This window comes from Homo sapiens, chromosome 19, assembly GCF_000001405.40.
Source record: "Homo sapiens chromosome 19, GRCh38.p14 Primary Assembly".
Lineage (NCBI taxonomy): Eukaryota > Metazoa > Chordata > Mammalia > Primates > Hominidae > Homo > Homo sapiens.
The window spans coordinates 46,083,096-46,109,003 of record NC_000019.10 but is presented as its reverse complement, the minus strand read 5'-3'; the positions used below and the strand labels follow the sequence as shown (position 1 = coordinate 46,109,003).

At 41.3% G+C, this 25,908-nt stretch overlaps 1 protein-coding gene across 22 annotated transcripts in view; it reads right to left on the bottom strand.

The window, feature by feature from the left end:
* The window catches only part of IGFL2 (IGF like family member 2), a 136,850-nt gene that overhangs the window by 106,359 nt on the left and 4,583 nt on the right, over window positions 1-25,908 (bottom strand). For 3 of the 22 annotated variants that reach the window (XR_001753605.1, XM_047438228.1, XM_024451381.2), the window contains exon 2: window positions 7,867-8,023. The exons of the other annotated variants lie outside the window; for them this stretch is intronic. The gene's annotated coding sequence lies outside the window, so the exon portion shown is untranslated. The remainder of the gene's footprint in view (window positions 1-7,866; window positions 8,024-25,908) is intronic. 22 annotated transcript variants of the gene reach the window in all.

Sequence of the window (25,908 nt, the reverse complement as noted above, 5' to 3'; positions counted from 1 at the left end):
CACCTACCATCTTGGGTCCTCAGACCAACCAGCCCAAGGAACATCTCACCAATTTCAAATCAGGTAAGCGGTCTTTTCACTCTCTTCTCCAACCTCTCTTGCTGTTGCTCCACCCTTCAATCTCTCCCTTCCTTAATTTTGGTTCCTTTCCCTTTCTGGTAGAGACAGAAGAGACGTGTTTTATCCATAAACTCAAAACTCCAGCGCTGGTCACTCCAGACAGTCTTCCGTTGGTGTTTAATCACTGTGGGGATGCCTGCCTGATTATTCACCCACATTTCAGGGATGTCTGATCACTGCGGGGATGCCTGCCTTGATCCTTCACCTTGGTGGCAAGTACCACCTCCCCTGGGTGGCAAGCACCACCTCCCCTGGGTGGCAAGTACCACTCCCTCCTCCTCCATGTCTCTACCCTCTCTTTTCTCTGGGCTTGCCTCCTTCACTATGGGCAACCTTCCACCCTCCATTCCTCCTTCTTCTCCCTTAGCCTGTGTTCTTAAGAACTTAAAACCTCTTCAACTCTCACCTGACCTAAAACCTAAGCATTTTATTTTCTTCTGCAACATTACTTGGTGTCAATACAAACTTGATAATGGCTCTAAATGGCCAGAAAATGGCACTTTTGATTTCTCCATTCTACAAGACCTAGATAATTTTTGTCAAAAAATGGGCAAACGGTCTGAGATGCCTGATGTCCAGGCATTCTTTTACACCTCGGTTCCTCCCTAGTCTCTGCTCACAATGCGACCCATCCCAAATCCTTCTTTCTCTCCTGACTGTTCCTTCAGTCTCCACCCCAAGCTCTGAGTCCTTTGAATCCTCCTTTACTACAGACTCATCTGACCTCTCCCCTCCTCCCCAGGCTGCTCCTCGCCAGGCTGAGCCAGGTCCCAATTCTTCCTCGGCCTCCACTCCCCCACCCTATAATCCTTCTATCACCTCCCCTCCTCACACCTGGTCTGGCTTACAGTTTTGTACCGCAACTAGCCCTCCGCCACCTGCCCAACAATTTCCTCTCAAAGAGGTGGCTGGAGCTAAAGGCATAGTCAAGGTTAATGCTCCTTTTTCTCTATCAGACCTTTCCCAAATCAGTTAGCATTTAGGCTCTTTTTCACCAAATATAAAAACCCAGCCCAGTTCATGGCCCATTTGGCAACAACCCTTGGATGCTTTACTGCCCTAGACCCAGAGGGGCCAGAAGGCTGTCTTATTCTCAATATGCATTTTATTATCCAATCCAGTCCCGATATTAGAAAAAGTTCCAAAAATTAGATTCCGGCCCTCAAACCCCACAAAAGAACTTAATTAACCTCGCCTTCAAGGTGTACAATAATAAAAAAGAGGCAGCCAAGTGCCAACATATTTCTGAGTTGCAATTACTTGCCTCCACTGTGAGAGAAACCCCACCCACACATTTCTAGCACACAAGAACTTTGAAACTCCTAAACCACAGCAGCCAGGCATTCCTCCAGGACCTCCTCCCCCAGGATCTTGCTTCAAGTGCTGGAAATCTGGCCACTGGGCCAACGAATGCCCACAGCCTGGGATTCCTCCTAAGCCATGTCCCATCTGTGCGGACCCCACTGGAAATCAGACTGTCCAATTCGCCTAGCAGCCACTCCCAGAGCCCCTGGAACTCTGGCCCAAGGCTCTCTGACTGACTCCTTCCCAGATCTTCTCAGCTTAGTGGCTGAAGACTGACGCTGCCCGATCACCTTGGAAACCTCCTGGACCATCACAGCTTTAGGTAACTCTTACAGTGGAGGGTAAGTCCATCCCCTTCTTGATCAATATGGAGGCTACCCACTCCACATTACCTTCTTTTCAAGGGCCTGTTCCCCTTACCTCCATAACTGTTGTGGGTATTGACGGCCAGGCTGCGAGACCCCTTAAAACTCCCCCACTCTGGTGCCAACTTGGACAACATTCTTTTATCCACTCCTTTTTAGTTATCCCCACTTGCCCAGTTACCTTATTAGGTCAAGACATTTTAACTAAATTATCTGCTTCCCTGACTATTCCTGGGCTACAGCCACACCTCACTGCCACCCTTTTCCCCAGTTCATAGCCTCCTTCGAATCCTCCCCTTGTATCTCCCTACCTTAATCCACAAGCATGGGATCCCTCTACTCCCTCCTTGGCGACTGATCATGCACCCCTTATCATCCCATTAAAATCTAATCACCCTTACCATGCTCAACGCCAATATCCCATCCCACAGCAGGCTTTAAAAAGGTTAAAGCCTGTTACCACCAGCCTGTTACAACATGGCCTCTTAAAGCCTACAAACTCTCCTTACAACTCTCCTATCCTACCTGTCCAAAAACCAGACAAGTCTTACAGGCTGGTCCAAGATCTTTGCCTTATCAACCAAATTGTCTTGCCTATCCACCCCATAGTGCCAAACCCATATACTCTCCTATCCTCAATACCTCCCTCCACAACCCATTATTCTGTTCTGGATCTGAAACATGCTTTCTTTACTATTCCTTTACACCCTTCATCCCAGCCTCTCTTCACTTTCACTTGGACTGACCCTGACACCCATCAGTCCCAGCAACTTACCTGGGCTGTACTGCCACAAGGCTTCAGGGACAGCCCCCATTACTTCAGTCAAGCCCTTTCTCATGATTTACTTTCTTTCTGTCCATCTGCTTCTCACCTTATTCAAAATTTTGACAACCTTCTCCTTTATAGCCCACCCTACAAGTCTTCCCAACAGGGCACCCTCCTGCTCCTCCAACATCTATTCTCAAAAGGATATTGCATATCCCCCTCCAAAGCCCAAATTTCTTCCTCATCCGTTACCTATCTCAGCACCTTTCTTCATAAAAACACACGTGCTCTCCCTGCTGATTGTGTCCGGCTAATCTCCCAAACCCCAACCCCTTCTACAAACAACAACTCCTTTCCTTCCTAGGCATGGTTAAGGTACTTTCTCCTTTGGATATCTGGTTTTGCCATCCTGACTAAACCATTATATAAACTCACAAAAGGAAACTTAGCTGACCCCATAAATCCTAAATCCTTTCCCCATTCCCCTTTCCATTCCTTAAAAAACAACCCTAAAAGCTGCTCTCCCTAACTCATCCCAACCCTTTTCATTACACACAGCTGAAGTACAGGGCTGTGCAGTCAGAATTCTTACACAAGAGCTGGGACTGCACCCTGTAGCCTTTCTGTCCAAACAACTTGACCTTACTGTTTTAGACTAGCCCTCATCTCTGTGTGCAGCAGCTGCTGCTGCTCTAATACTTTTAGAGGCCTTCAAAATCACAAACTATGCTTAACTCACTCCCTACAGTTCTCATAACTTCCAAAATCTATTTTCTTCCTCACACCTGATGCATATACTTTCTGCCCCTGGCTCCTTCAGCTATATTCACTCTTTGTTGAGTCTGCAACGATTACCATTGTTCCTGGCCCGGACTTCAATCCAGCCTCCCACATTATTCCTGATACCCCACCTGACCCCCATAACTGTATCTCTCTGATCTAACTTGTATTCACTCCATTTCCCCATATTTCCTTCTTTCCTGTTCCTCACCCTGATCACACTTGGTTTATTGATGGCAGTTCCACCAAGCCTAATCACCAATCACTAGCAAAGGCAGGCTATGCTATAGTATCTTCCACATCTATCATTGAGGCTACTGCTCTGCCCCACTCCACTACCTCTCAGCAAGCCAAACTCATTGCCTTAACTCGAGCCCTCACTCTTGCAAAAGGACTACGCATCAATATTTATACAGACTCTAAATATGCCTTCCATATCCTGCACCATCATGCTGTTATATGGGCTGAAAGAGGTTTCCTCATTACACAAGGGTCCTCCATCATTAATGCATCTTTAATAAAAACTCTTCTCAAGGCCGCTTTACTTCCAAAGGAAGCTGGAGTCATTCACTGCAAGGGCCATCAAAAGGCATCAGATCCCATTGCTTAGGGCAACGCTTATGCTGATTAGGTAGCTGAAGAAGCAGCTAGCATTCCAACTTCTGTCCCTCATGGCCAGTTTTTCTCCTTCTCATCAGTCACTCCCACCTACTCTCCCACTGTAACTTCCACCTATCAATCTCCTCTCACACAAGGCAAATGGTTCTTGGACCAAGGAACATATCTCCTTCCAGCCTCACAGGCCCATTCTATTCTGTCATCTTTTCAGAACCTCTTCCATGTAGGTTACAAGCCACTAGCCTGCCTCTTAGAACCTCTCATTTCCTTTCCATCGTGGAAATCTATCCTCAAGGAAATCACTTCTTAGTGTTCCATCTGCTATTCTACTACTACTCAGGGATTGTTCAGGCCCGCTCCCTTCCCTACACATCAAGCTCAGGGATTTGCCCCTGTCCAGGACTGGCAAATTGATTTACTTACATGCCCTGAGTCAGGCAACTAAAATACCTCTTGGTCTGGGTAGACACTTTCACTGGATGGATAGAGGCCTTTCCCACAGGATCTGAGAAGGCTACCGCAGTCATTTCTTCCCTTTTTCCAGACATAATTCCTTGGTTTGGCCTTCCTACCTCTATACAGTCTCATCACAGACCAGCTTTTATTAGTCAAATCACCCAAGCAGTTTCTCAGGCTCTATTCAGTGGAAGCTTCATACCCCTTACCGTCCTCAATCTTCAGGAAAGGTAGAACGGACTAATGGTCTTTTAAAGACACACCTCACCAAGCTCAGCCTCCAACTTAAAAAGGACTGGACAGTACTTTTACCTCTTGCCCTTCTCAGAATTAGAGCCTGTCCTCGAGATGCTACAGGGTACAGTCCATTTGAACTTTTATATGGATGCACTTTCTTGCTCGGACCCAACCTTGCCCCAGACACCAGCCCTCTAGGCGACTATCTTCCAGTCTTCCAGCAGGCTAGACAGGAAATTTGCCAGGCTGCTCATCTTCTCTTGCCTACTCCAGATTCCCAGCCATATGAAGACACCCTAGCTGGATGATAAGTTCTTGTTAAAAATCTGACCCTTCAAACTCTACAACCTCGATGGACTGGACCCTACTTAGTCATCTCTAGTACCCCAACTGCTGTCCGCCTGCAGGACCCTCCCCATTGGGTTCACCATTCCAGAATAAAGCTTTGTCTGTCAGACAGACAGCCTGATCTCTCCTCTTCCTCCTGGAAGTCGCAAGTACTCAACCCTACTTCCCTTAAACTCACCCGCATTCCTAAATGATAATAGTAACCCTTATAAGCCTAATACATCCTATCATTTTTATTAGGTCTCTTCGTCCTTACCCTACTCTTCCCAACAAAGCTTTACGCATTCACCCCTCCCACTTGGATTGCACCCCAAAAACTTGTCATCCCTACTATCTTCTGTCTAGTCATATTCCTATTCACCATTCTCAACTACTCATAAGTGTCGTGCCCCTGTTTACACTGCCAGTTTACATTTTTCCTCCAAACCATCACAGCGGATATCTCCTAGTACTATCCCCAATCCGCCACTCTTGACTCCCTCTTGGAGTGGATAGATGATCTTTGCTCACAGGGCACACTCCAATACTTTCACCCTGATGAAGTCCTATTCTTTACTTTTACACTCACTCTTATTCTCATTCCCGTTCTTGTGCCACCCTCTACCTCTCCCCAGCTACCTCCACCACACTATCAATCTCACTCACTCTCTCCTAGCCGTTTCTAAACCTTCTTTAACAAACGATTGTTGGCTTTGCATTTCTTTTTCCTCCAAAATCGCCGAGGCTTTGACTTACTGCTAAAAAAAAAGGGGACTCTGTATATTTTTTAAAAGAAGAGTGTTGCTTTTACCTAAATCAATCTGGCCTGGTATATGACAACATCAAAAACTCAAGGATTGAGCCCAAAAACTCACCAACCAAGCAAATAATTACACTGAACCCCCTTGGGCACTCTCTAATTGGATGTCCTGGGTCCTCCCATTTCTTAGTCTTTTAATATCTGTTTTTCTCCTTCTCTTATTTGGACCTTGTGTCTTCTGTTTAGTTTCTCAATTCATACAAAACTGCATCCAGGCCATCACCATTCTATATGACAAATGTTCCTTCTAATAAACCCACAATATCACCCCTTACCCCAAAATCTTTCTTTAATCTTTCCCACTCCAGGTTCCCATGCTGCCCCTAATCCTGCTCAAAGCAGCCATGAGAAAAATTGCCCATTATCTCTCCATACCACCCCCAAAAATATTTTGCCGCCCCAACACTTCACCGCTATTTTGTTCTATTTTTCTTATTAATATAAGAAGACAGAAATGTCAGGTCTCTCAGCTGAATCTAAGCCATCATATCCCCTGTGACCTGCACATATACATCCAGATGGCCTGAAGCAACTTAAGATTCACAAAAGAAGTGAAAACAGCCAGTTCCTGCCTTAACTGATGACATTCCACCGTTGTGATTTGTTCCTGCCCCACCCTAACTGATCAATTGACTTTGTGACAATACACCCTCCCCGCCCTCGCAATAATGTACTTTGTGATATTCCCTTGCCTTTGTGAATGTACTTTGTACTATACACCCTCCCCACCATTAAGAAGGTACTTTGTAATATTCTCCCCCACACTTAAGAAGGTACTTTGTAATATTCTCCACATCCTTGAGAATATACTTTGTAAGATCCACCCGCTGCCCGCAACAAAATTGCTCCTAACTCCACCGCCTATCCCAAACGTATAAGAACTAATGACAATCCCACCACCCTTTGCTGACTCTCTTTTCGGACTCAGGCTGCCTGCACCCAGGTGATTAAAAAGCTTTATTGCTTACACAAAGCCTGTTTGGTGATCTCTTCACACAGACGCGCGCATGAAATTAGCTACAGAAAAACAGGACCTCATAAAACTTGCAGAGTGGGTACAATCACACACTGGAGGGGGTTCAAAGGGACTTTTACTTATGCTAAAGACACAGGGAAAATTTACTTCTTTGTTACCCCTGGGAAAGTCTCCAGAGCACATTCCTTCCAGCTCCAGCCACTTAGATAATGTTATCAGGTCCTCACCTGGGTCCAGGCTATGCCTGTTACTGCCCTTGGGATGTGTCAGCATAGTACAGAAAGCTTGCCTTTTTTAAACTTATTTTTCTCTCTCTAACGTTCTCTCTTTATTTGCCCACCTCAATGTTACCTAGCCTTGGAAACTGCTTTTTTCATGGATGTGCAACCTGTGAATCAGGAGATCTCACTCATGAGCCCACACCACCAGGGCCTTAGGTCCCAACCACAGAGCTGCACAGTCTCAACAGCGGTTGGGCCGGAGTCTGCCTAAGACTACCGAGTTCTGGGGAGGAGGGCCAGCCATCATCACTGCAACTGCAGCTGCCTGCTGCTTACGACGTCTGAGCTCCCATCACTGCGGCTGCCTAAAAGGCTGAACCCCCACTGGGGAAGGGCAACAGCCATCACTACAGCTCGGGGCTGCCGTTTTTCCCCTGCTGGTGCCAGGGAGATTGGATGTCTTGGACCCAGAAGGTATTCCCCACAGTGGAGCACACCAGTTGTGGCAGATTGTGGACTCTGCCTCTTTAGGCTGGACCCTGACCCATCCCTCCTCACTGGGCGAGGCCTCCCTGCAGGAACTTCAGCTACCCCAGCCAGGGCCTTAGGGAAAAGATTCTGATCTCCCTGAGCCTGAGCCCCTAGTGGGAGGGGTGGCCATGGCCTTCACAAACCAGCAGACTTACTTTCCTCCACTAGCTCTGAGGAATCCAGGCAGCCCAGATGAGTGGGTTTCCCCCCAGCACAGCACATCCCCTCCACCAAGGGACAACTAGAGTGTTTCATTAAGTGGGTCCCGGATCCTGTGCCCCGCGACTGGGTGAGACCCCCACCAACCAGGGGTCACCAGACACCTTATACAGAAGCGTTCCTACCAGCATCAGGTCAGTGCCCCTCGAGGACAGAGATCCCAGAGGAAGGAGCAGGCATCCATCTTTGCTGTTCTCCAGCTTCCTCGGGTGACATCTCCAGCTGCAGAAGGGACCCAGGTGAATAGGGCCTGAAGTGAACCCTCAGCAAACTGCAGCAGTCCTACAGAAGAGGGGCCTGACTGTTAAAGAAAAACAAACTAACAGAAAGCAACAACAGCATCAACAAAGAAGTCACCACAAAAACTTCATCCAAAGGTCAGCAGCCTCAAACTAGACAAACTTATGAAGATGAGAAAGAATGAATGAAAAAAAACACTGAAAGGAAATTAAATTTTGGGACCCCAAATGCATCTGGCTAAAAGGAAGAGTCAAGCTGGGAACTGGGTCATGCAAACTTGCCTCCCACTTTCAGTTCCTAAATAAGATGGCTACAAGATGAAAAGCTACATGCCTCCCCCATATTTGCCCACAAGGATATTCCTAGTGAATGGTTAAAACTTCACCATGGCAATGCAAATTGATAGCTTATCTTTCCAGGTGCTGTCATCCTGGCCCACAGACACTAATGCATATCTGATTGTTTCCCTACCACATTCTGTTTGTGTTATCTTATGTAAAATGCTGATTCCCCACATTTTTCCTCTGCCCCTTTTATGTCCTTGTATGTAAAAATGCAGATTCACTTGCATGAAAACTGTATACTTCTCAATATCCCACCCTTTCCCCTTTAAATTTGGAGCCCTTAAAATCATCTTCAGAGAAAGGCATAGACCTGTTTCCCGGGTGCATCCTTAACTTTGGCAAATAAATCTCCTAAAATGATTGAGACTTTTCTTGTCATTTTCCTTGATTAACAGTCAGCAGCCTCAAAGATTGAAACTAGACAAACTCATATAGATGAGAAAGAATCAATGAAAAAACGCTGAAAACTGAAAAGGCCAGAGTGCCTCTCCTCCTCCAAATGATCACAACTCCTCTCCAGCAAGGGTACAGAACTGGGTGGAGGCTGAGATGGATGAGTTGACAGAAGGCTTCAGAAAGTAGGTAATAAACTTTGCTAAGCTAAAGGAGCATGTTTAACCCAATGCAAAGAAGCCAAGAACCATGATAAAGGGTCATAGGAGCTGCTAACTAGAATAACCAGTTTAGAGAGGAACATAAATGACCCGATGGAGCTGAAGAACACAGCACAAGAACTTCGTGATGCGAACACAGGTATCAAGCAGAAGGATAAATATCAGAGCTTGAATACTATCTTGCTGAAATAAGGCAAGCAGACAAGACTGAGAAAAAAAGAATGAAAAGGAATGAACAAGCACAGGCTCGGTGACTCATCCCTGTAATCCCAGCACTTTGGAAGGCTGAGGCAGGTGGATCACGAGGTCAGGAGTTCAAGACCAGCCTGGATAAGATGGTGAAACCCCGTTTCTACTAAAAATACAAAAATTAGCCAGGCGCAGTGGCAGGCGCCTGTAATACCAGCTACTTGGGAGGCTAAGGCAGGAGATCACTTGAACTCGGGGGGCAGAGGTTGCAGTGAGCTGAGATTGTGCCACTGCACTCCAGCCTGGGTGACAGAGTGAGACTCCGTCTCAAAAAAAAAAAAAGAAAGAAAGAAAAAGAGCAAACAAAACCTCCGAGAACTATGAGACTATGTAAAAAGACCAAACCTATGACTGATAGGAGTACATGAAAGAGATGGGGAGAAAGGAACCAAGTTGAAAAACACACTTCAGGCTATCATCCAGAAGAACTTCCCCAACCCAGCAAGAGAGGCCAACATTCAAATTCAGGAAATCCAGAAAATCCCAGTAGGATACTCCATGAGAAGATCAACCCAAAGACACATAATCATCAGATTCTCCAAGAATGTAATGAAGGAAAAAATGTTAAAACAGCCAGAGAGAAAGGCCAGGTCACCTACAAAGGGAAGCCCATCAGACTAACAGTGGACCTCTCAGCAGAAACCCTACAAGCCAGAAGAGAGTGGAGGCCAATATTCATCATTCTTAAAGAAAATAATTTCCAACCCAGAATTTCATATTTGGCTAAACTAAGCTTCATAAGCAAAGGAGAAATAAAATCCTTTTCAGACAAGCAAATGCTGAGAGAATTCATCACCACCAGGCCTGCCTTGCAAGAGCTCCTGAAGGAAGCACTAAATATGGAAAGGAAAAACCACTATCAGCCACTGCAAAGACATGCTGAAGTACAAAGACCAACGACACTATGAAGAAACTGCATCAACTAGTCTGCAAAATAACCAGCTAGCATCATGATGACAGGATCAAACACACATAACAATATTAACCTTAAATGTAAATGGGCTAAATGCTCCAATTAAAAGACACAGATTGGGCCTGGCACAGTGGTTCATGCATGTTGTGTAATCCCAGTACTTTGGGAGGCCGAGGCGGGTGGATCACCTGAGGTCAGAAGTTCGAGACCAGCCTGACCAATATGGTGAAACCACATATCTACTAAAAATACAAAAATTAGCCAGGCATGGTGGCATGCACCTGTAGTCCCAGCTACTTGGGAGGCTGACGCAGGAGAATCACTTGAATCCAAGAGGCAGAAGTGCAGTGAGCTGAGATCATACCACTGCACTCCAGCCTGGGTGGCAGAACGAGACTCCATCTCAAAAAAAAAAAAAAAAAAAGACACAGATTGGCAATGTGGATAAAGAGTCAAGACCCATTGGTGTGCTGTATTCAAGATTCAAGAAGCCCATCTCCATGCAATGATACACATAGGCTCAAAATAAAGGGATGAAGGAAAATTTACCAAGCAAATGAAAAGCAGGAAAAAGCAGGGGTTGCAATCCTAGTTTCTGACAAAACAGACTTTAAACCAGCAAGGTTCAAAAAAGACAAAGAAGGGCATTACATAATCGTAAAGGGATCAATACAGCAAGAAAAGCTAACAATCCTAAATATATATGCACCCAATACAAGAGCACCCAAATTCATAAAACAAGCTCTTAGAGACCTACAAAGAGACTTAGACTCCCACACAATAATAGCGGGAGACTTTAACACCCACTGTCAATATCAGACTATCATTAAGACAGTAAATTAACAAGGGTATTCAGGACTTGAACTCAGCTCTGCATCAGGTGGACCTGATAGATATCTACAGAACTCTCTACCCCAAAACAACAGAATAAGCATTCTTCTCAGTGCCACATGGCACTTACTCAAAAACTGATCTCATAATTGGAAGTAAAACACTCTTTAGCAAATGCAAAGGAACTGAAATCACAACAGTCTCTCAGACCACAGTGCAATCAAATTAGAACTCAAGGTTTAAAAACTCACTCAAAACCACATAACTACATGAAAATTCAACAACCTTCTCCTGAATGACTCCTGGGTAAACAATGAAATTAAGACAGAAGTAAAGAAGTCCTCTAAAAACAATGAGAACAAGAGACAATGTACCAGAATCTCTGGGATGCAGCTAAAGCAGTATTAAGAGGGAAATTTATAGCACTAAATCCCTACATCAGAAAGCTAGAAAGCTCTCAAATCGACACCCTAATATTGCAACTAAAAGAACTAGAAAACCAAGAACAAATCCCAAAGCTAACAGAACACAAGAAATAACCAAGATCAGAATGGAACTGAAGGAGATAGAGACACAAAAAACTCTCCAAAAAAATCAATGAATCTAGGAGCTGGTTTGAAAAGAAATTAATAAAATCAATAGACTGCTAGCTAGACTAAAAAAGAAGAGAGAAGAATCAAACAGACACAATAAAAAATGATAAAGAGGATAGCACCACTGACCCTGCAGAAATACAAACAGCCATCAGAAAAACATTATAAACACCTCTACGCAAATAAACTAGAAAATTTAGAAGAAATGGACAAATTTCTGGACACATACACCCTTCCAACACTAAACCAGGAAGAAGTCAAATCTCTGTATAGACCACTAACAAGTTCTGAAGTCGAGGCAGTAATAAATAGTCTACCAACCAAAAAAAGCCCAGGACCAGATGGATTCACAGCTGAATTCTACCAGAGGTACAAAGAGGAGCTGGTACCATTTCTTCTGAAACTATTCCAAACAATTGAAAAGGAGGGACTTCTCTCTAACTCATTTATGAGGCCAGCATCATCCTGATACCAAAATCTGGCAGAGATACAACAAAAAAGTAAAACTTCAGGCCAATATCCCTGATGAATACCAACGCAAAAATCCTCAAAATACTAGCAAACCAAATCCAGCAGCATATCAGAAAGCTTATCCACCACAATCAAGCTGGCTTCATCCATGGGATGCAAGGCTGGTTCAACATATGCAAATCAGTAAATGTAATTCATCACATAAACAGAACTAATGACAAAAACCACACAATTATCTCAATAGATGCAGAAAAACGCCTCTCATAGAATTAAATATCCCTTCATGTTAAAAAACTCTCAGTAAACTAGGTATTGATAAAACATAGCTCAAAATAAGAGCCATTTATGATAAACCCACAGCCAATATCATACTGAATTGGCAAACCTGGAAGTATTCCCTTCGAAAACTGGCACAAGACAAGGATACCCTCTCTCACCACTCCTGTTCAACATAGTATTGGAAGCTATGGCCAGGGCAATCAGGCAAGAGAAAGAAATAAAGAGTATTCAAATAGGAAGAGAGAAAGTCAAATTGTCTATGTTTGCAGATGACATGATCCTATAACTAGAAAACCCCATTGTCTCAGCCCAAAAGCTCCTTAAGCTGACAAGCAACTTCAGCAAAGTCTCAGGATATAAAATCATTGTGCAAAAATCACAAGCATTCCTATACACCAACAACAGACAAGCAGAGAGACAAATCATGGATGAACTCCCATTCACAATTGCTACAAAGAGAATAAAATACCTAGAAATACAGCTAACAAGGGATGTGAAGAACCCCTTCAAGGAGTACTACTAACCACTGCTCAAGGAAATCAGAGAGGACACAAACAAATAGAAAAACATTCCACACTTGTGGATAGGAAGAATCAGTATCATGAAAATGGCCATACTGCCCAAAGTAATTTATAGATTCAATGATATTCCCATCAAACTACCATTGACATTCTTCACAGAATTAGAAAAAAACTGCTTTAAAATTCATATGGAACCAAAAAAGAGCCCATATAGCCAAGACAATCCTAAGCAAAAAGAACAAAGCTAGAAGTATCACACTACCTGACTTCAAACTATATGACAAGGCTACAGCATGGTACTGGTACCAAAACAGACACACAGACCAATGGAACAGAATAGAGATCTCAAAAATAAGTCCACACATCTACAACCATCTAATCTTTGACAAACCTGACACAGACAAGCAATGGGGAAAGGATTCCCTATTTAATAAATGGTGCTGGGAAAACTGGCTACCCATATGCAGAAAATTGAAACTGGACCCCTTCCTTACATCTTACACAAAAATTAACTCAAGATGGATTGGATTCGAGACTTAAGTGTGAAACCCAAAACTATAAAAACCCTAGAAGAAAATCTAGGCAACACCATTCAGGACATAAGCATGGGAAAAGATTTCATGACCAAAACACCAAAAGCAGTTGCAACCAAAGCAAAATTGACAAATGGCACCTAATTAAACTAAAGAGTTTCTGCACAGCAAAAGAAATTATCATCAGCATGAACAGACAACCTGCAGAATGGGAGAATGTTTTTGCAATCTATCCATCTGACAAAGGTCTAGTATCTAGAATCTACAAGGAACTTAAACAAATTTACAAGAAAAAAAAACAACCCATCAAAAAGTAGGCAAAGGATATAAACAGACACTTCTCAAAAGAAGACATTTATGTGACACACAAACATATGGAAAAAAGCTCAACATCACTGATCATTAGAGAAATGCAAATCAAAATCACAACAAGATACTATCTCATGCCAGTCAGAATGGTGATTATTTAAAAAGTCAAGAAACAACAGTTGCTGGCAAGGCTGTGGAGAAACAGGAATGCTTTTATACTGTTGGTGGGAATGTAAATTAGTTCAACCATTGTAGAAAACAGTGGCAATTCCTCAAGGATCAAGAACCAGAAATACCATTTGACCCAGCATTCCCATTACTGGGTATATACACAAAGGAATATAAATCATTCTATTATAAAGATACATGCACATGTATGTTTACTGCAGCACTACTCACAATAGCAAAGACATGGAATCAGCCCAAATGCCCATCAACGATAGACTAGACAAAGAAAACATGGCACATATACACCATGGAATACTATGTAGCCATAAAAAGGAATGAGATCATGTCCTTTGCAGGGACATAGATGAAGCTGGAAGCCATTATCCTCAGCAAACTAACACAGGAACAGAAAACCAAATACTGCATGTTCTCACTTGTAAGTGAGAGCTGAACAATTAGAACACATGGACACAGAGAGGGGAACAACACACACTGGGGCCTGTCAGTGGGGGCAGGGGAGGGGAAAGCATCAGGATAAATAGCTAACGCATGCAGGGCTTAATACTAGGTGATGGGTTGATAGGTGCAGCAAACCACCATGGCACACGTTTACCTGTGTGACAAACCTGCATGTCCTGAACATGTATCCCAGAACTTAAAATACAATAAAATTTAAAAACACACAAAAAAAAAAGAAAAAGAAAAAAACAAAATTACAGCACAACAAAAACAGATTGGGGTGAGGTAATGGAGACTTTCACTTTCAGCTCTATAGACTTCTATCATTTTGAATAGGACATATATATTCATACATTGCTTATCCAATAAAATCAATCTAAATATTTTTTTAAAACCAACCCCTCTGCAAAATAAGTTTTCTTACTTTTGATAAAAAGTAAAACTCAATTGGCCATTTTTGTGTGGGTCTATTTCTGGATATTCCATTACATTCCATCAATCTATATGTTCTTCCATTCACCAATAAGATACTGTCTTGATTACTACACCTTTATAAAAAGCCTCAGAATCAGGTCCCTAAACTTTGCTCTTCTTTTACAAAATTGTCTTAGCTATTCTAGTTCTTTGGCCTTTCCTTACACATTTTAGAATCAGCTTTACAATACTGACCCCCTACCCCTGGCAAAAAAAAAAAAAAAAAAAAATCCTCCAAGGCTGTTAAGTTTGCTTTGAATGTACATATCAAGGTGAAGAATACTGACATCTAACAATGAGTCTTCCAGTCCATGGCTACAGTATATCTCTCCTTTTATTTAGATCTTTATGTCATCAGTTTTTTAACTTTCATGCATACAGATCCACACATATTTTGTTTGATTCAGGCCTAGATATTTAATTTTTGATACAATTTTAAATTGCTTTTAATTTCAAATTTGAATTGTTCAAACAGACAGACAGTGAACAATTCAAATTTGAATTGTGCCATAGACTATTGTTTATAGTCTACAGAAATACATTTTATTATTTTATATTAATTGACTTGGTAGTCTGTGAACTTGCTAACCTAATTTATTTGTCCTATGAATTCTTTATAGACTCCTTGGGATTTTCTACATCGGCAATAATGTCTGTAAATAGACAGTTCATCACTTATTTTCCAATCTGCATGCGTTTTTGCCTCATTACACTAGCTAGGACTTCCAGGACAAAGATGAATAGAAGTAGTGAAAATAGACTCCCTTGCCTTGTTCCCGACCTTAGGAGGAAAACATTCCATCTTTACCATTAAATATGACATTAGCTGTAGGATTTTTGTAGATGTCTTTTACAAAGTTAAGCAAGGTCCCTGATATTTCTAGTTTTCTGAGAATGCATTTTATTCTGCTTATGAATGTTTTAATTACTCAGAAACCCATATACACTTCCAGTGAGATATTAATGTCTTAAGTTTTATATTTTGATCACCATTAGAGAAATTATCTTTATTAACAGATGCATTTTATAAAGCTGAGATTTTCATAATCATAAAGGCAATTTCCTCATCAAGTGTCCAACTATTTCAAATATCAAGGTCTTTAAGCAAAGATCTTCAAAAATTTTATAATTAAAAATAAATCACCAATAAAGAGAGGCAACTTCTACTAAATATTTAGTTGTTATTAAACTAATATTTAATTTTAATTTCCTTACAGACTTAAGTTTATTAGCTTGAGGCGAACTTTAATAGTTAAAAATTATTTATCATTTTGAAGTCTTAAAAATATCATTTTGTCAATTTTAAATTGTCACTTTTCTGGTTAAGGCTACCTTGTATATAAAAGTATCAAACTTCCCAAAAACATTTTGGAGCCATTTCTACTTAGAGAGACAGTATGCCCTTTTAAAAGATCAACTACATTATAACTTAGATTATCTGATAAAATAACAATTTCAATAAATGGTCAAAAATTAGGTATTACAGACAGGCATGATGGCTCACACCTGTAATCCTGGCACTTTGGGAGGCTGAGGCAGGAGGATAACTTGAGGCCAGGAGTTCAAGACAAGCCTAGGCAACACAGTGAGATCCCATCTCTACAAAAAAAAAAAATTTTTTTTTTGAGACAGGGTCTCACTCTGTCACCCAGGCTGGAGTACTAGAGTACAGTGGTGCAATCTCAGCTCACTGCAGCCTCAGCCGCTCAGGTTCAAGTGATTCTCCCACCTTAGCCTCCTGAGTAGCTGGGACTACCAGCGCACATCACCAAGCCCAGCTAATTTTTGTATTTTTTGGTACAGGCAGGGTTTTACCATGTTGACCAGACTGGTCTCAAACTCCCAACCTCAAGTGATCCACCTGTCTCAGCCTCCCAACGTGCTGGGATTACAGGTGTGAGCCACTGTGGCTGGCCAAAAAAAAAAAATTTTTTTTAATTAGCCAGGAGTGGTGCTGTGTGCCTGTAGTCCCAGATACTCAGGGGACTGAGGCAGAAGAATCGCTTGAGCCCAGGAGTTTGAGGGTGCAGTGAGCCATCACCACACCACTGCAGGCCAGCCTAGGTGACAGAACAAGACCCCAATCTCTAACAAACAACAACACAAAGTTAGTATTGCATTAAGAAAAGAAACAACCTCAAAATGTGAATCAAGAAAGAGCCTTGACAGTGAATGAAAGTAATTATTTAACTTATCTTGAAATCCAGGTTTGAACGTAAAAAATGTTTACCAAATGTGATTAATTTCTCCCCATTATAGAAGAAATGTGACACTTCAAACTTTTGATTATGGTATATACACTTAATGCATTGCATTTTTATAGATTTTAGTTTAACCAGTAATTCAGAAAGGCATTAAAAAATAAATTGAAACTTTATTTTTATATAAAAATTTATCATGCTGTTTGAGTTCATTTTTTAAAAATGCTTTTGTATTTGTCATTGAAACTGTTGAGGCTCTCAAATTCCATAGCTAATGACTGTGTTTCTTTAGCTAAATAATTCTTTCAACTAAAGACATTAAGTGCACAGTCATCTTTCAGCTCTTGTAGCTGCTTCTGTATATCAGCAACAAGAGTAAGAAATCAGAAACATTAGGACTCTAAGTTGAACAAAGGCTTTCATTTCATGGTAAGCCTGTTTTACACCTACAATGAATGACATCAGTCTTTCTTACAAAACATATTATAAATAAACTAGGATATAACAATAGGTTATCTCAGCAACAGAAATACAACTCCTAAGGAGAAACACAAACATGGAAAACACAAGTGTCTCTTCTAACAGAATAATTTGTATACTGATTAAAGTTTTTGACTGTGTACTAATTTGAAAGAAATATGTAGGCCAAGCACCTTACATGCCAAGCACCTTACAGAACTGAAGACATTCTAAGTAACAGTTTGCCTATATTCTTTCATAAATATCCCCACTTAATGGCCTCCTCACACTAAAACGTGCTGTTTAAAAACATAAATGTGGACCACTTCTCAGTGGAATCCTTCCCTAGATATCTACTTCTTACAAATGTTTTTCTATGAGGCTACAGGCATTTGGGAAGAAGGGCAGAGCAAGATGGTGCATTAGGACTCTCTAGTAATCATTGCCCACACGGAAACATCAATTTGAATGATTCATGCACAAAAATACCTTCAAAAGAGCTAAGGAAACCAGGTGAGAGATCACAGTACCTAGTTATAGCATAATAAGAAAAGATGCATTGAAGAGAGTAGGAAGAACAATTTTATGTCACCCAAATTACCCTTCACTCAACCCCAGGCAGCATAGCACAGAGAGAGATACATACTGTCTGCTTGGTGGAAAGAGAGGAAAGTAAACAAAATTTTGCCTTGGACCCTAATACTGGATCTTCCACAGTAAAACCCTGCATTAGGCAGACCCCTGCAACCGCTCAACCCATATCAGTACCTATGGACTAAGCTTCCAGAGCTGCCCGGGAACCAGATGGGAACCCACAGCCCCTGCAAGGCCAGCTCAATCCACAGTTTGCATCACTGCTAGCCTGGGCCCTGGGCTACAGACAAATCTTGGCAGTAGGCAGGCACCAGCAGCCACAGGCTTCAGGCATATGCCAGCTCTGTGCCAGCCTCAGAAGCCATGAGATTCCAGCCGGGCAACGTGCTTGTCATCACGTACCAGCATAGGTCACCCTCTAGAGTTGTAATGGCCACAGTGGCACAGAGATCACACCAGTCTGTCCAGGCTATCTAGACAGGCTTATTGTTGAAGGGCGTTCCCAGACAAAGCCAGTTTACAAAGACTGGAAATAAGTACCTACTTCTTAAAATATGCAGATGTTGACGTGTGGCCACAAGATCAAGAACAATCAGAGAAATATGACATTAGCGGGGAGACAAAATAAAGCACCAGTGACTAACAATAAAGAGATGGATAAATATGAACTCCTTACTAAACAATTCAAAATAACTTTTTAAAGGAAGCTCAGCAAACTTAAAGAAAATACAGAGAAACAATTCAAAGAAATGAGGAAAACAGTAAGTGGCTAGAATAAGAAATTTAGCAAAGACTGAAATAATTTTAAAAAACTCAAACAGAAATCCCAGAGCTGAAAAATACAATGAACAAAATTTTACATGCAATACAGAGTCTAAACAGCAGAACTAATCAAGTAGAAAAAAGAATCTGTGAACTTGAAGACAAGTTATTTGAAAATGTACCATCAGAGGGGAAAAAAGAAAAAAATAATAAAAAGAAATGAAGAAAGCTTATGGGATTTATGAGACAGCATCAGAAGAGCAAATGTTTGGGTCACTGGAATTAAAGAGGGAGACCAAGAGGTAGAAAGCTTATTTAAACAAATAATAGCAGAAAGTTTTCCAAACCTGGAGAAAGATGTAAATATCCAGGTACAAGAAGGTCAAAGGACTCTAGCCAGATTCAATCCAAATAAGATTACCCCAAGCCATATTATAAGTAAACTGCCAAAAATCAAAGACAAAGATAGGATCCTGAAAGCAACAAGAAAAAAGAAGCAAATAACATATAAGGGAGTTTCAATATGCTCACCAGCAGACTTCTCGGAAACTTTACAGACCTGAGAGAGTTCAAAGTGCAGAAGGGAAAAAAAAAAACCTACCACCAAGAATACTATACCCTAAAAGGATCTTCTTCAGAAATGAAGGAGAGATAAGACTTGCTCAGACAAACAAGTGCTGGGGGAGTTTACCTCCACCAGAGCCATCTTACAAAAAATGCTAAAGGGAGTTTTTCAAGCTGAAAGAAAAAAATGCTAATGAGTAACACAAAAACATCTGAAAGTACAAAATTCACTGGTAAAAGTAAGTATACAGTCAAATTTAGAATTATACTGTAACAGTGGTGTATAAATCACATGTATTTCACATGAAGGTTTAAAAACTATTAAAAATAATCACAATAATTTGTTAAGAGATATGCGACATAAAAAGATGTAAATGATTACATCAAAATTCAAAATACAAGGTGCAGAGCAGTAAAAGTGTAGAGGTGGGCTTTTTTGTTATCAAAGTTGTTATCAGCTTAAAATAACATATGATAACTATAAGGTTTTCTTGTAACTATAAAGTTTTTTTTGGTAACTACAAACCAAAAACCTATAGTAGATAAAAACACAAAAATAAAAAGTAAGGAATCAAAATATACTGCTAGAGAGAATCACTTAACCACAAAGGAACAGTAAGACAGGAAGAAAGAAACAAAGGATCTATAAAACAATAAACAAAATAGCAGTAGAAAGTCCTTACCTATAAATAACTTTTAAGATCTACCAGAGTCTACATTAGCGCCTTTAACCCAGTCATGTTCATAGAATGACTTCCTTTTCCTATTTCAATCCTTTATAGCTTTGCTGATTATTTCCTCTGTCTGGGACATCCTTGTTTTGTTTTGTTTTTCAATCTTCTCAAACCCCAATCAACATACAACAGTAGGCTATGATATTACTTCATCTGTGAGGTCTCAAATGACATGATCACTCCAGAAGAGCTCTAGATATGTCTTTATCTTTGTATTCTCATCGCCTCTTCTCACATTGTTTTGTAACTTCATTTATTGTCACCCAAATGCCTCAACTCCAGAACAGATATTATCTTGTTATTTTTATATTTCTAGTGCACAATTAAGCTCTTAATATATAGAAAGTGTTCAATAAATCTTTGTAAATCAATGACAAGAAGCTGAATGGAAGAGTTTTAATTTCTGGTTAGCAGTTAGCCAAGTAGATGAATGATGGCACCATTCAACAATATAATGAACACGAAGTGTAAATATATATGTTACAATTGAAGGTTGTGTCTTAAATTTTAGTTGTTTTGATATTGAGACTCAGTGGTGCTGAATAAAGTCTGACAATTAAACATATGGGTTCATTAGTTAGTACAGAAAAAAAGCCCTTATCTTAAATAATAAACAATGTAAATGGATCAAATTATCCAATCAAAAGACACAGAATAAAGGAAAGACTTTAACACAGCTGACTAGATGCACTGGGTACTTGCCTCTTTTATGGAGAGGAAACAAAATAGTCCATAGATAATGACACTTCAAATAGATCATCTGAAAGAGGACATTAGAATTCAACAGAGAAGTAATGGGAGGCACCAAAAGCAAGGAAGGAGAGAAAAGTGAAGTGGCCTGCCGAGCCAGAATCAACTGGGCGAATGGTGAGAGACCCCCAGTGGTCCACATTTCTACCACAGATTCCTACAGTCCTAGCCACAGGAGAGCCCCTCAGCCCTCACAGGTCCTGAGACTAACATAGGGAGCTGTCTGGAGACTGCACTATGGCATTGCTCCAATGAGATGGAGTCCCACAAACTCCTAAGTCCTAATCAGCTGCATCAAGGCACCATTGTATGAGCTCCACCTCCACTAGACTGCATCCTTCCCTGGGCCAAACAGCCCTCACATCCCGATATCCCTGGAGCCCAACTGACATTCCCCACCCACTGCCAGGACCAAAGTGGAAACTGATGACAGCAACCCTTTCCCATCAGTAGAGGGGCAGTCATGCATTTTCTCATGCCCCAAGGACAAATTCCACTGCCTGCTGCCACTTGCAGGCTACTGCAGGGTTGAGGCACAGGCAAAGCACACATGCCCCAGCCACCTGCCTAACGCTGCTCCCACTAAAAGCAGTCTCACTGTTCCCAGTAGCATGGCCGCAGTGCAGCTCCTGCTGCCCTCAACTGAGCATTCCACTGGCAGCCTGAGGATCACCCTATCCCTGATTACCAGAGCCAGTGCCTACATACATCATCTGGGGGCCTGAGAACAGGTCTGCCTGGCACAGCTCCACCTCCCCAGTACCTGAGCACCCATCAAAGGGGCCTGCAGATCACGCAACCTGGTCTACTACTGATAGCACCTGAACACTTCTCTTAACATCTGAGGTTAGGCCCAACCAGCCTGCCACTACCACCACAGCCAGCACCCACCTGCAGGTGCCACCTGTGAGCCTGAGGAATGGCCTGCCTAGTGCACCCCAGCTACCACCAACATCAGCACAGACTGCTTGGGTCTCAGAGGATTGTCCCATCACTGCTACTGCCATTGCCCATGCTACTTATGCCCAGGGCCCAAGAACCTGTCCACCCATCCAAATACCACTGCTATTCTCAATACCTGATCAAGCGACCTGGAGGACCAACGATTGGCCTGCCTGGACCTGCTAACACTGATGCCAGTGTATGCCACCCTGGGGCCCAAAGACAGGCACATTCAGCCCACTACTGCCACCGTGGCCCAAAACCTGGCCTACCTGGCATCCCAGTCTCCAGCAAAACTTCATAATAGCCTTCACTAACAATTGCACCCTAAGCCACTGAGAAAATGAAAGACACCACTGATGCTGTTTATAGCCAAAATAAATCACACAGAGACTACACTACTGCATGTACCCACAATCAAAGCCAAAATTCCCTACCCAACCAACATCATAGATACAACTTCAGGAAAAAAATCCTCCCCATGAGAGCAAATTCAAAAAATTGGAAGAAGCCACTCTTACACCAGATGTGCAGATATCAACGTAAGAACACAAGAAACATGAAAAAGTAAGGAAATATCCAAAGGAACACAATAATTCACTAGCAACAGATCCCAATCAAAAAGGAATTTATGAGGTCAGGTGTGGTGGCGAATGCCTGTAATCCCAGCACTTTGGGAGGCCGAAGTAGGCAGATCACTTGAGGTCAGGAGCTTGAGATGAGCCTGGCCAACATGGTGGAACCCTGTCTCTACTAAAAATACAAAAATTAGCCAGGCATGGTGGTGCGCACCTGTAATTCCAGGTACTCAGGAGGCTGACATACAAGAATTTCTTGAACACAGGAGAAGGAGATTGGAGTGGACAGTGGAATACCACTGCACTCCAACCTGGGAGACAGAGCGAGACTCCATCTCCAAAAAACAAGAAAAAAAAGGAATTTATGAAATCCCAGAAAAAATTCAATATGTTGTTATTAAAGAAGTGAGTTGTTCTCAATGACATACAATACAAAAAAACCAACAATATTAGAAAAACAATTCGGGCTATGAATGAGAAATTTATCACCAAAGAGATAGGTATCATTAAAGAGAACCAAAGATAAATTCTAGAACTGAAGAATCCATTGAATGAAATAGAAAATACACTCAAAGGCTTCAAAAATAGACCATATCAAGCAGAAGAAAGAATCCCAGAACTTAAAGATGGGTCTTTTGAAGTAACCTAGTCAGACAAAAACAAAGAAAAAATAATTTAAAAGAATGAGTGGAGCCTACATGAAATATGAAGCACTATTAAAGCAATAAAATATTTGAATTGTTGGTGTCCCAGAAGGCAACCAATGTTCCTGTATGGTTTCTTTGTTGTTGCAAAGAACAAAAATGCAAAGGAGAAAAGAAAATCCTTTTCATACAAGCAAATGCTAAGGGACTTCATTACTGCCAGACCTGCCTTACAAGAGTTCCTTAAGGGAGTGTTAAACATGGAAACAAAACGCCATTACCAGCCACCACAAAAACACACTTAAGTATATGGCCCACTGTCACTATAAAGCAACTATACAATCAGGTCTACATAACAACCAGCTAACAACATGATGACAGGATCAAACCCTCACATATCAATATTAAACTTGAATGTAAACAGGCTAAATGCCCCACTTAAAAGACAGAGGAGCATGTTAGATAAAGAAGCAAGACCCAACTGTATACTGTATTCAAGAGACCCATCTCAAATTAAATGGCTCAAAGTAAAGGGATGGAGAAAGATCTATCAAGCAAACAGAGAACAAAAAAGAGCAGGGGTTGCTATTCTTATTCTAGACAAAACAGACTTTAAACCAATAATGATCAAAAAGGAAAAAGAAGGGCATTACATAATGATAGAGGGTCAGATTCAACAAGAAGACTTAACTATATGAAATACACATGCACCCAACACTACAGTCTGGAGTCAAGAGAGACTATTTTGGAGCTTTAAGTTTTTTTGTTTTGTTTTGTTTTCTTTTGGTGTTTTTTGTTTTCCTTTTTTTTTGAGCTGGAGTCTCACTCTGTTGCCCAGGCTGGAGTGCAGTGGCGCAATCTCGGCTCACTGCAGGAGCTTTAAGTTTTAATGACTGCCCTGCTGGGTTTCAAACTTGCATTGGGGCCTGTAGCCCCTTTCTTTTGGTCAACTTCTCCCTTTTGGAGAGCGACCCAATAGCTGTACTCCCATGGTATGTTGGCAGTAAATAACTTGTTTTGATTTTACGGGCTCATAGGTGGAAGGAATTCATGTCCAGATGAGACTTGAGACTTTTGACTGAGTTGATGCCGGAATGAGTAAAGACTTTTCAGGACTGTTGGGAAGGCATGGTTGTATTTTGCAACGTGAAAAGGACACGAGATGTGGAGACAGGGGTGGAATGATATGGTCTGGATCTTTGTATTCCCACCAAATCTCATGTTGAAATGTAATACCCAGTGTTGGAGGGGGCACCAGTGGGAAGTGCTTGTATCATGGGGACATATCCCTCATGAATGGCTTAGTGCCATCCCTTGGTGATAAGTTCTTGTAAGATCTGGTTTTTTAAAAGTGTGTGACACCTCCCACACACACTCTCTCTCTAGCTTCTGCTCCCACTGTGCCTTCTGCCATGATTGTAAGCTTCCTGAGGCCTCCTCAGAAGCAGATGTTGGCACCATGCTTCCTGTACAGCTTGCATAATTGTGAGTCAATGAAAGCTCTTTTTTTATATAAATTATCCAGTCTCAGCTATTTCTTTATGGCAATGTAGGAATGGCCTAACATATTAATATATCTGAAGAGAGAGACAGATGCAGTAATAGTAAAGAGAGAGAGCAATGCAGTAATAGTAGGGGACTTCAACACCCCACTTTCAGCAATGGACAGATCAACCAGACAAAACAAAATCAATAAAGAAACATCAGATTCAAACTATACTCTAGACCAAATGAACTTAATAGATTTATACAAAACAGTTCATCCAACAGCTGCAGAATACACATTCTTCTCAACTGCACATGAGCATTCTCCAGGATATATCATATGTATGCCACAAAACAAGTCTTAACAAATTTAAGAAGACTGAAATCATATCAAGTATCTTTTCTAACTCAATGGTATAATACTAGAAATCCGTAACAGGAGGAACTTCAGAAACAGTACAAAGACATGGGAATTAAACAACATGTTCCTGACCAATCATTGGGTCAGTGAAGAAATTAAAAGGGAAATTTAAAAATTTCTTGAGACAAACAAAATGGAAACACAACATACCAAAATCTGTAGGAAAAAGCAAAAGCAGGTCTAAGAGGGAAGTTTATAGCAGTAAATGCCCACCATTGCACAAAACTGGTAGCACCAGAATACCCTTACATAATTGACTATTCCCAAACAACCGAGGATCAGAGGACTTTGTTCCAGGGCCTACCCCAGAAGCCAAGTCAACCACTGTCAATGCGCAAAATCTCTAATCACTACCTCTTCCAACTTACTCTCCTCTCAACTTTCTGTGGCTAAGGTCCTTCCCTTTCTCTCCTCCCACTCTTTGTGACTCTTCTGTCCTCTCTGTCACTGTCTCTTTCTGTCTCCTTGTCTCTCTCTCCTTTCAGTCTATACATATGGCTGAAAATAATAATTCAAATAATAAAGTAATATATTTTCTTGAAAAATGTTGTGTATGTTCAGAAATAGAGATTATACAGCCATGGTTGGTATTCTCTCATCGCACCTCCTCTCCTCCCCAAAGTAACTGTGTTTACAACATAGTGTCTGAATTTTTCTATATTCTACACATTTGCATACATATTAATATAAATGTACACACGTACCACACTTTAGTCTTTATGGGATAATGTTATACACACCCCTTTAAATCCCTAAGAGCACATATCCATTTCTTACAGCTGCCTAGATTTCCATTTTGTGAATAAGTTTCAGTAATTTATTTCATTAGTCTTCTGTTGAAAACGATTTAAGTTGTTCCCAACTTTTCACCATTGCTCTAAAATATCACAAAAAAATAGTCTTATACGTATGTCTTTGTGCACTGCATCCAGTCAGTAACAGCCCTGGAAGTAGAAATTCTAAAGCAAATTGTTTATGATGCACTCAGTTATATGTTAAGGAAAAACTAATTGAAAACTAAAACAATAAACAAAT